At 36.4% G+C, this 15,762-nt stretch overlaps 1 annotated feature.

Moving 5' to 3' along the window:
* Window positions 2,555–3,538: an enhancer, noted in NCBI's record as "OCT4-NANOG hESC enhancer chr7:136321846-136322829 (GRCh37/hg19 assembly coordinates)". NCBI's record gives its function as "activates a minimal SCP1, AML or CMV promoter by ChIP-STARR-seq in primed H9 embryonic stem cells {active_cell/tissue: H9 hESC(primed)}" and the evidence as "EXISTENCE:reporter gene assay evidence [ECO:0000049][PMID:30033119]".

The following is a 15,762-nucleotide window of genomic DNA, read 5'->3' on the forward strand; positions in this document are numbered from 1 at the left end:
AATCCTGCTATTGAAGACACTGATGCATTCTTCAGTATGCCAATTACATTTTTCAGTTCCAGAATATTTACTTGATTCTTTCAAATTATTTCAATTTGTTTGTAAAATTTATCTGATAGAATTCTGATTTCCTTCTCTGTGTTGTCCTGAATTTCTTTGAGTTTCCTCAATACAGATACTTTGACTTGTCTGTCTGAAAGGTCACATATCTCTTTTTCTCCTGGATTGGCTCCTGGTTCTTTATTTCCTTTATTTGGTGGGTTCGTGTTTTCATGGATTGTCTTGATGCTTGTCTGTATTTGGGCATTGAAAAGTTAGGTATTTATTGTAGTCTTTGCAGTCTGGGCTTGTTTGTACCCATCCTTCTTGGGAAGGCTTTCCAGATATTCAAGAGGACCCCAAAACCCATAACCTTAATCTATTGATAAGAAAACCATTAAATACACTCAGATTAGGGAACATACTGTAAGATACCTGACCAATACTCCTCAAGACTGCCAAGATCATAAAAAACAAGTAAAGACTGATAAAAATATCACAGGCCATGGGAAAATGGAGAAACATGAAAACTAAAAATAATGTGGTACCCTGGATTAGATCCTGGAACAGAAAGAGGGTATATTAACTAATGGTAAAACTGATGAAACATAAATAGGCTGGAATTCAGTTAATAGTAACACACCAATATCAATTTCTTAGTTTTGACAAATATAACAAAATAAGGTAAGATACTAACAATAAGGGAATTAGATAAGGCATATGCAAGATTTCTTCATATTATATTTGTAACTATTTTGTAAATCCAAAACTATTCTAAAAGACACTTCATTTAAAACATAAAACAATTTTTTTAAAATAAATTGTTTTAAACATAGGTAAACAACATCCCATTACTGTAAATTGAATTAACAGTATTTTATACTTGAAGCAAACATGAAAAAAGAAGAATGTTGTCTTATTTTGACTGAGCATATATTATCTAGTTAGTCTTACATATTTAAGTAATTAATCCTCAAAAAAGTACAGTCACTGGGCTGTTTAACAACATAACACAGAGATTTCATAATTTTGTTCCATGTGGAATATATTTTAAGCTTGGTTTCAGTTAGGAAATTACTTTTTATTACAGCAGGTTAGGGGCTGTTAAACTATTGTCATTGCCACAGTGTTGGGCAGATCCTAGAGAATAATCAAACAAATAGCCCTTGGATGCTGACCATAGAGCAGAGTGCCACATTGCATGAACAGACGCCTTTTTTTTTTTTTTGATTAAAGCAGGCAGCTGGCATTCTACAGGGTACGTTGGGGAGAAACAATCTTCTTAGTAGTCATGTAGAAAGCCGCATTTAAAATCTAAAGTGTGAATAACTGTTGATACAGAGAGCAAGAATTCTGATGAGAAATGCTAATTCAGCACTTCTTGCCAGGTTTGCAACAGTATGAGACAGAAGGAAGAAAATCTGCAAAGCCTGATTGAAAAAGTGGAAGGAACAGAGAAAATTACATGAGTAATCTCAGCTTCAGGTTTCTATCAGTTTCTTGGAAAAATACTAAATTCAAAATGAGTACCTAAACTTTAATTTGTGTATGAATATTTGTGTTTAGCTATGATGAGCTTTATGTTGTTCCCATTCTCTTGCCTTTTAAACATTCTCAATTGAATAATAAGATCAAGTGTAACTATTGATAGATATTTTGTTGTTGTTGTTCGTGGACATATCACAGCACCTAGAACAATGTCTGGCACAAAACAAATGCTAAGTAAATATTTGGTGAAGAGCAAAATGAATGATATCTCCTACTGGTGCCACGGGCCACTGATGTCTCTCAGTGAGGGCAGGGAGTCTTAGAGGCAGCAGAGAAGGAAAGTGTGTCTCTAGCCAATTTTTATTATTGGAACATCTGATAATTCCCTCTTGCTGGGCCACTAGGCTTTCCTGTTGTTGTCAGCAGAGCCCCTGTTTTATCTAGAGGAAGAATGACCTACTGGGCCAATGTTTTAGTCAGTTTCAGCTGCTATAACAAAATACAATAGACTGTGTAGTTTAAACAACCGACATTTATTTTCTTCCAGCTCAAGATTCTGGAGGTCTGAAGTCAGGATGCCAGCACCACGGTCAGGTTCTGCTCAGGGCTGTTTTCCTGGCTCACATGTGATTGCCCTCTCAGTGTGTTTTCAAATGGCCTTTCCACAGGGCATGAAAATGAAGAGGGAGGGTGTGGGAGGGAGAGAGAGAGAGAAAAGAATGAAGAGGGGTGGGGTGAGGGGAGAGGGGAGAGGGAGGGAGACAGAGAGGGAGAGAAGAGAGTGTCCAATCTGTCTTTCTCCTCTTAGAACTATTTCCATCATGAGGGTTCTGCCCTGTGACTTCATTTAAACCTCTCAAAGGCCCTACTTCCAAATACCATCACACTGGAGGTTAGGGCTCCAATATATGAATTTTGGAGAATACAAACATTCATTCCATAATAGCCACCTTCTGTTGCCAGCTTGAGCAGCTTGAGTGTCTAGAGATGCTGGGCCTGGGTCACCTTTCTTTGGGTGGGAGGTCCTATGAAGCTTTGATACTATATCATTCCTTTAGTCCTTGGGTCTTTAATCGGTTTGCCTTCCTCTTCCCATTTTTTTCAGTGTTCTCTTTTGATTGCCTCTTGCATTATTTCCAGAATTTTTAGTTGTACTTAACAAGAATGAGCAGGGAGAAATGAGTCTATGCTGACTTGTTCTCACCAGAAAGTGCATTTAATTTTGAAGTCCACAGAAAGCTCAGCTAAATCTCAATGTCTTATTGCCATAAGCTTCCCACAGTTATTCAACAACTTCAAGTCCAGTGGTTTTCCTGCTGTGATGTCAATAGCCAGAACGAACTACCCTCACCTAGGGAGTCCCTGAGCTAAGTATTCTGTTAATAAAACCAATTTATAAGTTCTGTTCTTAAGCTATTTGATTACTGTGAGAGTGAACTCACTATATCAGAGAACAAAAAGTGGAAAATTGCTTTAAAGGGTTAATATTGGTCATTTTAATCTCATTGGCATAAAAATGTGTTCTGAGTTGTCTTATGGAATTTTCCTCTCTCTCCTTGCCAGGCCTGAGTCTCTTAATTTTGATTTCTTTTAGTTTTATTCAGAGAATTAAGCTATCATTTGTGTTTGTATAAAAATGTTTTAACTGAGCTTATTATGCTTGAAAAGAAGTGACAATAACTATTTTGACTTATTACTTTCTGTCTGGTTAGGATAATCAAACATTCAGCAAGGAAGAATCAAAGCACCGTAGGTGGTATAAATAAGCATGAGAAAGAGCTTCCGAAAAATCTCTTCCAAATAGAGAACACATCCAGCTCCCTTCTCTCCCCTCTTCCCACCACCCACATTCTCCCCCTACTTTTAGACTATTCCTGAACCAGGAAGTAAAAGTTGTGAGTGGGAAGGGGTGGGGAGTGTGTATGTGTAACCAACAAGGGAATTTATTCTTTTGATGAATCATGATTGTACTATAATCACATATTCCCACATGCAGTCCTGAATTCCTGTGCCAGCATTCAACTCCCTTTGCAAAGCTGGCACCTTCTATTTCCTTCACCAGCATTTCAAGCAAAATGATGTATCAGAAAATTAGAGCTATAAAGAGCCCTTAGATGCTCAAATTCCAGTGTCTCACTTACTGAAGAGAAATGGAGGACCTGGAACATTGTGGAAATCATTCAATTTCATATGCTTCTTATAGGCAGAGCTAGAGTTAGAAGCCCTATATTCTGGCTCCTGGGCCAGTGCTCTTTCTATGATATGAGGATGTCTCAGTTGTAGCCACTATAGCTCTCATGCTTTAACAAATATATTCAGTAAAGCTAGGAGTAGGTGAGAGGCTACCTCACTCCTGCGTAGGAATATAAAAATGTCAAAAAAATAAAAAGACAAACAAGTGATGACTGTAGCTGTAAAAACACAACTTGAAACGTACACTCAATGCTATGATTCCTATGACTGGTACTCTGTGTATTCCCACATCTCTTTCATCTTTACTTCTTCCTTTTCTTTTCCTTTTTCTTTTTCTTTTTTTTTTTTTTTTTGACGGAGTCTTGTTCTGTTGCCCAGACTGGAGTGCAGTGGCGTAATCTTGGCTCACTGCAAGCTCTGCCTCCCGGGTTCATGCCATTCTCCTGCTTCAGCCTCCCAAGTAGCTGGGACCACAGGCTCCCGCCACCATGCCTGGCTAATTTTTTGTAGTTTTAGTAGAGACGGGGTTTCACCCTGTTAGCCAGGATGGTCTCGATCTCCTGACCTTGTGATCTGCCCGCCTCAGCCTCCCAAAGTGCTGGGATTACAGGCTCTTCTTTTTTTTTTATTTTTTGCTTATAATGATAGGGACATTATAGGAGCTACAGGGGTATTTTTGTTTTAATATTAAAAGTATTTCTACTGGAATAGGACAAAATGTCTCACAGCCAAAGCCCAGGGACTTAAGGGAAAAGTCTAATAGCCAGACCAAGCAGAAGGTTCCCATTTCCCCATATGCCCAACTTTAACAGAGGCCCTAGCATGTAGGAAATATATGAATCTTTGAATGATATTTCCTGTGATAAAGGCCTGTTTTATTCCAGGTTTTATATATTAGAACAAAGAAATTGATGCAGATATTATTAGAGTGTTTAGCAATAATATGGAAAGAAGTCACAAAGTCTGTTAAGTTAGCCATACATCAGAGCAGGATCAGAACCTGATATCTGAAGAGTGGGAATCCCACCTCTGAAACCAGTTGTACCTGGGAGAGAAACAATATTATTAATTGGAAAATATTCCCTATAATGCTAGGATTAAATAAAAATGGATAAAATAAAAATGTACAAGACCAAACACTTCTTCATTTCTATATGGACCTGAATATCATCCTGTCTGGATGAAAAAGAGTAATCATAGTAGAGTAGGTACATTCATGGCAAATTAAGCAAGATTTGATTTCTAGCCATGGTGAGTTTGCAGACTAATTGCTCTAACATGTGAGGTAAATGAGGAGCTTACACAGAAACACAGGCAGGTTTTGAAAGCATATCAGAGATCAAGGTGGTTTGAAATAAATTGGGAAACTGTAAAGTTAATTCTGCTGATAAGGGGGATTTTCTCAGAGAGACAGAAAAGCTGAGGAAATAGAAATAAATTATTTTTAAGTGCTGTCTAATTATATAGCTATGGAAAAAATTGTAAAGCTGTTGGAAAAAGTTGAAAAAAATTAATAAGATTAGAATAAGCATGTTTGAATATCTGAAAGATGATCATGTGGCATTGGGGTTAGACATCTAGAGGATGTCACTGAAAGAACTAGGACCAGTGGGGAAAGTTACATGAAAACATATTTATGTGAACATGAGGAGAAAGTTTCCAAGAGCAAAAAGTGTTCAAAATAGTAATAGCTTTAGAAATGAGTAGTTTACTCTTATCATTGGTGGTGTTCAAATACAGGCTTAATGTCATAATGAAAGCAGCATAAGGATGTATTAGTCCGTTTGCATTGCTATAAAGCAATACCTAAGACTGGGTAATTTTATAAAGAAAAGAGGTTTGTTTGACTCACGGCTCTGCAGGCTGTACAAGAAGCATGGCACCAGCATCTGCTGTGCTTCTGGTGAGGGCTTCAGGAAGCTTTCACTTACAACGGAAGGCAGGTGGAGGCCGTGTGTCACATGGTGAGAGAGGGAGCAAGACAGAGAGGAGGAGATGCCAGGGTCTTTTTAACAATCAGATCCCATAGTAACTAATAGAGCGAGAACTCACTCATTACTGCCAGGATGGCACCAAGCCCTTCACGAGGAATCCACACCCATCACCCAAATAACTCCCAATAGATCCCACCTCCAACACTGGGGAATCACATTTCAACATGAGATTTTTGGAGGGGACAGATATCCAAACTGTATCAAAGGAGAATCCAAGAGTCTAACAGATTCATAACTATAAAGTTCTTAATAAACCCTCACACAACAAAACTCAGTCTGCTATGACTTTGTGGAACTCTTAAGATTACTCTGGCTAGTTGAGCATTAGGAAAAGAGCAAGACCCTGGTTGGCCCTTTCAACCTCCATTCCAGAAACAGTAACTCAGTATCTTTAGGAACTATGTGCAGATTTTGACATCAGTGTTTCACATCAACCTGACTGTCTTAATTTCTTAGATTTAGTAAATGTCTGTATTCCCTCAGGAGAGCTACATCTAAGTGTGTGTGTTTATATAAATACACACATAATTATATTTATATATTGTTCACAATGGAAAACATAAATGGAATCCTTGCTAGTGGATATAACAAATAAATACCTGTTACATAAATCAGGTTCTTGGTAGGAAACATAACTCCCTCCAGATGGTTCAAATTAAGAGACTTTAATGAAGGGACTGCTTACAGAATTGTGGGTTGCATTAAGGTAACCAGGGAAAATTCTGAGGCCAGCAGTAGCTGGAAGCTCTTGTTGTTTCTAAGGATGAAGGGATCAGTGAGAGATCAATATTCCAGGAGCCCATGAAATCCTGAGGAGCTGTGGACTCCTCTGTGGACAGGGAAGTTGACAGCTACTGCCCTGCTTCACCAGGAATGAAGCAACAAGAACTGCTTTGCTTATTTGCTGTCCCCTCCTACTCTGTGATCTTCCAATGCCACTCTGTGGTCAATTTCTACCAGATGTCAGCCCAGCAAAGGGAGCCCTGCTAAAGCAAGGCTGGAAATGACAGAGAATGAATCTGGATGATCAAAGGTCAAATGAAGAGCAGCCAGCAAGCCAATAAGAGACAACAGCTAAAATGTGGCCCTCAGCCGTGACATATATTGCTAGATATTGATTAGATGTGTTTTTTTATTCTTGTTATTGTTTGTAATTTTTATTTCGTTCTTGTTGCTGTTTTCATAAGGCCTTTCAAGACAGGTTTGCGATGGTGACTTCTTTTATATCTAGTAGCTCATTTCATGGAAGCACAAACCATATTCAGCTCCAGTTTTATCCTACATTGTCTTTCCTTTTGTTTTGTCAAAGTAAGATAATATTTCTCAACATTTCTCCTTACATTTGCCCCAAATGCTGCAAATCTGGTGACATTCTCTTTATCAGATACTTGTATTGTTTATATTACTAATCTAATGATTGACCAATATGACTGCTGAACAAGTGATATAAAGTAATGATAAATTGTAGTAGCTACAATCTGTCTGTCATGCCAGCTGTTTAAACCAATGGAGTAATTACTAAAACATTGGGTGATATTCATGGACATAAGAAACTCAGTAATTTCAAGAATTGATCATTTTTGAAAGCATATCAAATATTATATCTTAAGTCTTTGATGGTGACTTTTGCAAAACTGAATATTTGGAAAAAATACATATTCACTTCTTTTGAAGTTTCTCTTACACTGATTTCCCGAGATACTTTATATTTCGACCTAGAAATGTCTTTAGTTTTCTCTCTCTGCTTCCCTTTATTTAGTGCCCCCTAGTTTTCTCTTGTCTCTTCAGTCCTAAATTCATCATCTAAACATTATTTCATAGTATTAATATTTTAGACTTACAAGGCTTCTATAACACTGTAAATGTGTTATTTAAAATAAGATGAATGTCATAGATTGGAGAATAGAAAGTAGAATTGTGGAGAGGGAAAAAAAGATCATGTATTTCTAGAGTTTCCCAAAAATTGCCACACAAAAGTTAAGAGATAGTTTGCCCAGAACTTCATTTGGTCTCACATTACTGAGGTCTAAATCTGGCAAGAACACATATTGAATTACATAGAAAAAAACAATATGGGCCAGGCATGGTGGTTCACACCTGTAATCCCAGCACTTTGGGAGGCCGAGGCAGGTGGATCACCTGAGGTCAGGAGTTTGAGACCAGCCTGGCCAACGTGGCAAAATGCCGTCTCTACTAAAAATACAAAAATTAGCAAGGCGTGGTGGTGGGTGCCTGTAATCCCAGCTACTTGGGAGGCTGAGGAAGGAGAATCGCTTGAACCTGGGAGGCGGAGGTTGCAGTGAGCTGAGATCACACAACTGCGCTACAGCCTGGGCGAAAGAGGGAAACTCCATCTCAAAAAAAAAAAGAAAGAAAAACAATATTTTCTTTAATGCTTCAAGATACAGGTTTACATTAATTGAGTGAAAGAACATATATATTTATGTATCGATGATATCGATACATAAATATATATTTAACTCAGTTTTGTTATAACAAAATGGAACAAAATATTTGTTATAGATATAAAAAAAGGTAATGAAAACTAAAATGAGTTCATGATCCTTAGCAAGAGTTTCAGAAAGAGAGGTACCTAGATAATTTAGGTTTTGTTAATATTTTCCCTTTATTTTTCTTTATAGTACTTGGTATTACTGAATATAAACCCAGGACATCCATGATATGGAAATAATATTAGAATTCACAGTAAAAGCAATAGGATAGGTAGCAAGAAAGATTCCTTTAGGAAAAGATGAGCACTATGTAAAGGACTAGAGGAAAGAACCAAGATAGGAAGGTCTTGGTTTTCAGACACCTAAGCTTCTATTAGTGGAAGTTAGGACTGCCACTATACTGCTTCAATGGTGATTTACCTGGACCTAATTTGTCTCAATTATTGTGGGAACTTGTGATGTTTTTCTGACATTTCACAGTCATTAAAGAAGAGGGTTGTGTAAAACAGCGTTAGAGAGGATGGTCTCTTTTAATGTCAATTACTACCAGCTTTTATTTCATTTCTGTTTCCTCTCCAACCCTGTACGCTCTACTAAAATTAAAAAACAAAGAATCAATTCCTCATTTCAAAGGAGGAAGAGGATATTTTTCAGAGGACATATAATAAGGCCACTAAATCTCAGCTCATTTGGACCAGCCCATGGTGTTCTGGAAATTTAACAATCTTACATAAAGTCGCTTTTGGTGAGAAAATACAATGTTTTATCAATTCTAATAATTTATTAATTATTCATATTTAACATTTTTACTTTAGAAAATGAGGTTACAACTTATTGAAAGTATTTAAAAATATCCGTAGGTCTACCATTGATACAGTTTTCATTTTCTTAAACCTTCAAACTTGTGTTTGTTTGTTTTTGTCTTGGTGGCATGGCTTGACAACTATATCTAGTCAACATACAAACCAATAAGTTGTGACCCATTTGAGCGTAGAATATAGGTCTTGTTTGTTGTTTGAAAATTGTCCATTGATACCTTCAAGTAAGAGCAGAAAAGATCTTAAACATAAAATTGTATATAATGGGGGCCAATAGGTTGGTTGAAAATGTTGTAAATAATATAAAGCATTTTAAAAATAAATACTACATTGTGCAGGCTCTGGTTAGCACATAAGTTGATGTTGCATGAAATAGGAAGATATTGGTGACACTGAGGTCACAATAGAAAAAGCAGTACTCATCTTGCTTTCTACCATATACAACCACAAATTTTTACTATTTTAAGATATTGGATAACTAGCAACACATGTCTATGGTCCTTAAGAAAGGAGAAAAAAAGAGGTATCAAAGATATGATTTCAGAAAAATAAGTCAGTGAGACTTTTCAAAGCTCATTACTGTAAAAGAGGCAGCTATGCAGAAAAATAGTTCTAAAAGTCTGCCCGGGGTCCCCTTGAGTCTGTTGCTGAATAATAAATTGTCTTTATATAGGGTGAAAGTTCATGAATCTAGGCAAAAAATAAAATAACACAGAGAAACTTAAAGATTGTCAATTTCTGAAGCTTACGTAAGACTGGGATACATTCAAGTTTATCCAGAGTGGAAAATCCCCTTAGAATACCAGGGCATTTAATAAAAATCCCAGAAGAGTAAAATCTTAGAGTATGGCTAAAATAGCCCTGTAATAAAAGCTCCTAGAGACCTTACCAAACAAATCTTAAAAATACCAAGTTAATTTGCAAGTAACATAATTGCCAGGCAAAATGAAATTTCATACACTATAAAGAAAACAGTAAAATCAAGTTGTGTAGTAAGAGAGCATCTACAAAGTCAAACATCCAATTAAAAAAAAATCACCAGACACATAAACAAACAGGAAAATGTGACCCATAACCAGAAGAAAATTCAGTCAATGAAAATAGACTTAGAATGGACAGAAATAAAGCAAATAAAGAAATAAAGCAATTAGCAGAAAGGAACTTGAAATAAATGTGATTAAAACTTAAGACATGAACATACAAAGATAAATAGAAGATGTAAAAAGAGGCATGCACTACTTCTGGTGATCAAAAATATAGCATTTAATGTAAAGAAATCTGCATGAGAAAACATCAGTAAATCCGAAAACACAGCAATAGAAACTACCACAATGAAGCTGTGAGAGTAAAAATAAAGTGGAAAAAAAGCTGAACAGAGACTCAATTATCAATGGGAAAATAGCAGCCAACAAAGAAGTTGGAATTGGAAAGATGAAGGAAAATTATTTGAAGAATTAATGACTAGGACTTTCCCAAATATGATGGAAACTCTAAACACAGAGATCCAAGAACATGGAAGAAACTCCAGCAGAATAGACACAAAATTGCACTATGACAAACTATAATAAAATTCCTGAAAATAAATGATAAAGAAGTATTAAACGCTGCCAGAGAAAAAGAGACAAAGAATTGCCACACATTTCCCATCAGAAATCCAAGCCATTAGACAATGGAACAACATCTTTAAAAAGATCCAAGAAACAACAAAAAACAAAAAATCCTGTCAACTGAAAATGCTACAGGAAGAGAAAATATCCTTCAAAAAAAAAAAAAGATACTTTGTCAGACACAGAAAACCTGAGAGAAATTTTTGTCAGGAAACATCACGGCCCACTTAAAAATTACTCAAAAGATGTAAATATGCCTGAAGTGTTGTTTGGTTTTGCTTTTTGCTTTGTTTTTTGTTTTCAGGAAGAAAATGTGGTTCCCAGAAAAGTATGAAAGATTCATGGGGATCATGGAAAAATTACAAGTTTTAGAAAGGATCTTTTAGCCAGATGACCTGCAGCACATACAAGAGAATGTGTCATTATCAGTAGCCAGTAGAAACTTAGAAACTGCGAAGACAGTCCAAATGACTTCCTTCCTTTCTCTATTGGTTTATGATAGAGACAAAATAACATCCACCAGCATATCGTATTTCTAAACTCACCCAAACAAGTTCCCTTGTGACACCCATGGTAAAGACGGAAACATGTATGTATGATTACTATACACTTGAGTGTATTCTTAGTCAATTAACGATTGTACTCTAAAAGTATTAGTAACAGAAAAGCAGAAAAAATTAATAAACAGGATTTTTTGATAAGCATTTTCAATTATTGAGAGGAAAGTTTGTCTTAGAAGCTGATATTCTTTTATAATAGAAAAATATTTTGTTTCTAATTAAGATAAATTTTATGCAGAGTAATATGAAAAAATCATTGATTAAAGTACACAAACTCTGCCTTTCAGTAACTTATGACTTTCCTTATGTTAGTCTATTTCCCTGTGATTTTATAGTTTTTTTTTGGAGGGTGGGGATATGTGTAGTATTTGGATTTTAAAAATCTCTAGACATTTTTACAGTTTCAATAATCTTTCTCTAAATTTCCATATAGTCACAAATCTCTTTTGTCATTCAGCTACTTTTAAGTGGCAGGGTAAGACCGCAGTTAATCCCAGGAACCACATTCTCACAGTAAATCCATGGAACACTGAAGACGTAGTTTAAATTTGAAACTCCATTTAGTGTTTTATAATAACTTGTTTTTGCTAGATTTTTCCGAAGTGGTTAATAAACCTATTATAAACTCTGGGTAAGGCAAATCCTTTAATTAAACACGCTGAAACTGCCTAGGTACATACTGGATAAAAAATTAGAAGGCTTTTAAATATTTAAGAGGGAAGAATATAAATTGGTAAGAGAATATTATTAGAGAAGACAGGTTGCAGAAAGAATAGTCAAACAGAGATTAATTATTTCTCTTTCCTCCCCCAAAATAGTAGACATGATTACAAGTTGATGAAGTTCAAGGTATTATAATTGCTTCATCTTTGTCTAAGTTTTACTCCTCTTTCTTCAAGAACTTATTGATTTATAGAATATTTATTAGTGAAATATTAAAGGTGGGAGGTCTAGTATCTCTCTCTCTCTCACACACATACACACACACACACACAAACACACACACAGCCCACAAGTGCTGCTGTTTCCCAAAGAAGCCTAAGTATGTAGGCAAGAGCTGAAACCAAGCAAATTGTGAGTATTCCAATGGAGACTTCTAGAGGTGGTGAGGATTACACTGCTTCCATGACATATGGGGCCAAATATTTGAGGGTTATAAATATCCTTATTAGTCTCCATATATTAATGATTCTTAAATAGTAGTTTTATTAAATGAGCCAAATTTGAATTTTATTCATATTTATCCTCAATATTACTTAAACACTTAAAAAATATTGTTCAAGTAAAAATTTATCCTGGAACTTTTCTTGATTGGGCAGTTAGATAATACTTTCTCTTGCCATCTGATTTCACCTAGGGCTTCACTGTCACCTCAAAACAATAACGTTTCAGTCTCTGACTGCTCATTCATGCATAAGAAACAGAAAGAATCTTGTTTCATGACTTGTAATATAAAACTAAAGTTGTTCCTTTAAGAAAGAATTTTTTGAATCTATTAAGAGGCCCCAGGAGAAATGGAGGCACTCGGAAGTCTGGCTGTGGAGGAAGAAGTAAGAATATTAACTTCCATAGTTCAATTACTATCTATATCTTGGTGATGGTCAAATTTGTATCTCAAATCTAGATCACTCCCCTGAGATTTGGACCAACATGTCCCATTGCCTATTTTTATTTCTGCCCAGATGCTTCACAGGCAACTACATTGAACTGTGCAAAACTGGAACTTGTTTCCTCCTCTAAACCTTCTCTTCATCTTGGGTTTTCTATCTCTATGATAGTCTCCAAAGGAAAAAGTGGCTAAGATGAGGTGGGAAATGCTGGCACAGGCTGTGTTGGTAAGATAGGAGGAATAGTGTGATCTCACATGGGCATGGTAGATCTTTCCATGAAAAGGCACGGGTCATTTTCTTACATCTGTTAAAAAAAGTTATGAAATATTTCAAAGATATTTGCTTTGTTTTTGGTATTATCAAGTATTTTATGTATTATCAAGCATTTTCTCAAGCTTATTTTATATATTATCAAGTATTATGTCTCACAATTCCAAAAGTCATACATATTTCCCCCATTCTAGCATTTGCAATCGTATATGGCAATATTGGAAGTGTAGTATAACACAGGATACAGAATTTAGAAAGACTCCAGGGGCATGGGCTAACATGTTGGAGATGGCACCACTGCTTGCTAGATTCTCCAAAACAGAAACTCTTTTCCTGGATTACTTATTCTCCCTGCTTCTGACCTCCAAGCAATCATCACCTACATTTGATTATACCTTTCATGTATTTACAAGAGTGTGGTGGGGTTCTATTCACTGAAACCTACTCTTTTTTTTTCTGCTCCAAGTTTCTCAGTCATGTGAGCATGCACAGAAGAAGCAGTAGTCAATAAGAAACAAGATATTTTATGTGGTTTTTAGTGATGTTCACCCCAAATGTATAGCTTTTCACTCTCCAGCCCCATGGCTTCCATATCATACTTTGAAGTTAAGTCTGTCTTTGGACAACAAAATGTGAAGAGACGTGACATGTATCATTTCCAGATGGATCCTTTAAAGGCCAAGGAGGGCATTCATCATGTCCCCTCTCACTTCTGTAGTGATCTGAGAACTGGGAAGCATATGCTAGTATGAAGCTTTACTATGTCAGCTCCCTGAGCAATTGTGATGAGCGGCAACCCCCATCAGCCCACACTGAACACAAACCAGGAATAAGAAATAACATTTTGATATGTTAAGCTTCCCACGTTTTGGGTTTGTTCATCTTGACAATATAAACCAGTCCATCCTGACTGATGCTTATTATTTAAATAATAGTTGAGCAACAACCTAATATTTATCTTTCTCCTATCCTCCATGGAGTGTTTCTCAGAAGACAATAGATTGAAGAATTTGAAGAATAGTAGCTTAAGTGAAGTCTCTCATTTCTTTGACCATTAAGTGTAAAATGCCTGAGACTACAGAGGAAACTGCAAACATGTCCTTCTTCACATGAAAGCAGGAAGGAGAAGAAATGAGAGCCAAGTGAAGGAGAAAGCCCCTTTTGAAACAATCAGATCTCATGAGAACTAACTCACTATCACAAGAAAAAGATGGGGTAAAATGCTCCCATGATTTAATTATCTCCACCTGGTTCCTCCCACAACATGTGGGGATTACGGGAACTATAATCCAAGATGAAATTTAGTTGGGGACACAAAGCCAAGCCATGTCAATTTTCTTCATCCTTTTAGGAAAGGTAGATACTTAGAAACAGGATAGTTGCTCCTCCTTAGCAAATCTTCCCCTCTAATTGTTGACATTTCTTACCTTAGTTTCACTAAAGAAACTGAGGTCATCATGACCCCCACCCCCCACAACTCTTAAGAGGGCTCCCTGACTCCAGCCATAGTCGTCTTCTGTCAGTTTTTTATATTGCAACCCAAGTGATGTTTCTCTAAAAACACGTCTAAGCCTTCAGGATCCTTTTAAGAATCCTTCAATGTTTTCTCATTGCCCTAAGATAAGGTACAAAATTCCCTGTTAGGACCTATATGATTTTGCAATGTCTGGTTCTTCCTCTATTCTTGCCTTATCCTGCACCACTACTCATGATTTATTACTACCACCCTGAACTTCTTTCAGTTGTTCAAAAGCAGTATGTTCCTTATTGCCTCTAGGCAATTGCACTTACCCTTCCCCTTTACGGAATGATCTTCCTTTTCTTCACTGACTAGTACCTACCAGTGCTTCAGGTTTTAAACTTAAGTGCCCTTTCCACTGGAAAATGTTGATGAGCTGCTCTTTGCAGAAATTATGGCAAAAGCAATCCTGGAACCATCTTGTACTTGGAAGGTTTTATTTCTCCCATCCTGACTTCTCTCCTATAAAAACTTGGAGATGTGAAGAACCAAAGGCAAGGGATGCTCTAGAATTTAGAGAGAAACTTGGATTCATCTTTCCTAATACTATATATTAGTAGGATTGCAAATGTCACCTGAGGGTATTTACCTATAGAAATAAAGATCATGAAGGCTCACTTCAATTTTGTAATTGAAGGTCTTGGCCTGATTGGGTTCACAAAAAGGCCCATGCCCAGGATTCCATCCACATAGAGAATTATGACTAAGGTCTTGTAATAATAAACAATGAATGTTATTTTCGGACATTATTTTAGTCTTAAAGAAATGTTTGGTTGCCTTAATCTATTCCTCTCTCCCAACTCCATTTAACTTATGTCTTCATTTTTTTAATTCATTGATTTTTTTCTCTTTCACCCATGAGTACACTTATCATAATTGAATCATTTAGTTTGTTACTGTTCAAGTTATTCTCCCATCTCCTTCCTCTTGTTACTACACCTATTGATAGAATAAACTATACCAGTTATCCTCACTCGTTCAACCTGGAGTCAATGATTGGATTTGAATGATTTGACTCTACCTTAGTTTGTTATTCCAACTGACTCTCAGTGGTCAGGAAATTCCGTTATCCCAAGAGAGTAGCTTGCACTCCCTTCTATGATTTCTCTGCAGTACAGTTATATGTCATTTAATAATGATAATACATTCTAAGAAATTGTACTGTGGTGTGAACATCATAGAGTACACTCACACAAACCCAGATGGTTTAG

The sequence above is a fragment of the Homo sapiens genome, chromosome 7, assembly GCF_000001405.40.
Source record: "Homo sapiens chromosome 7, GRCh38.p14 Primary Assembly".
Lineage (NCBI taxonomy): Eukaryota > Metazoa > Chordata > Mammalia > Primates > Hominidae > Homo > Homo sapiens.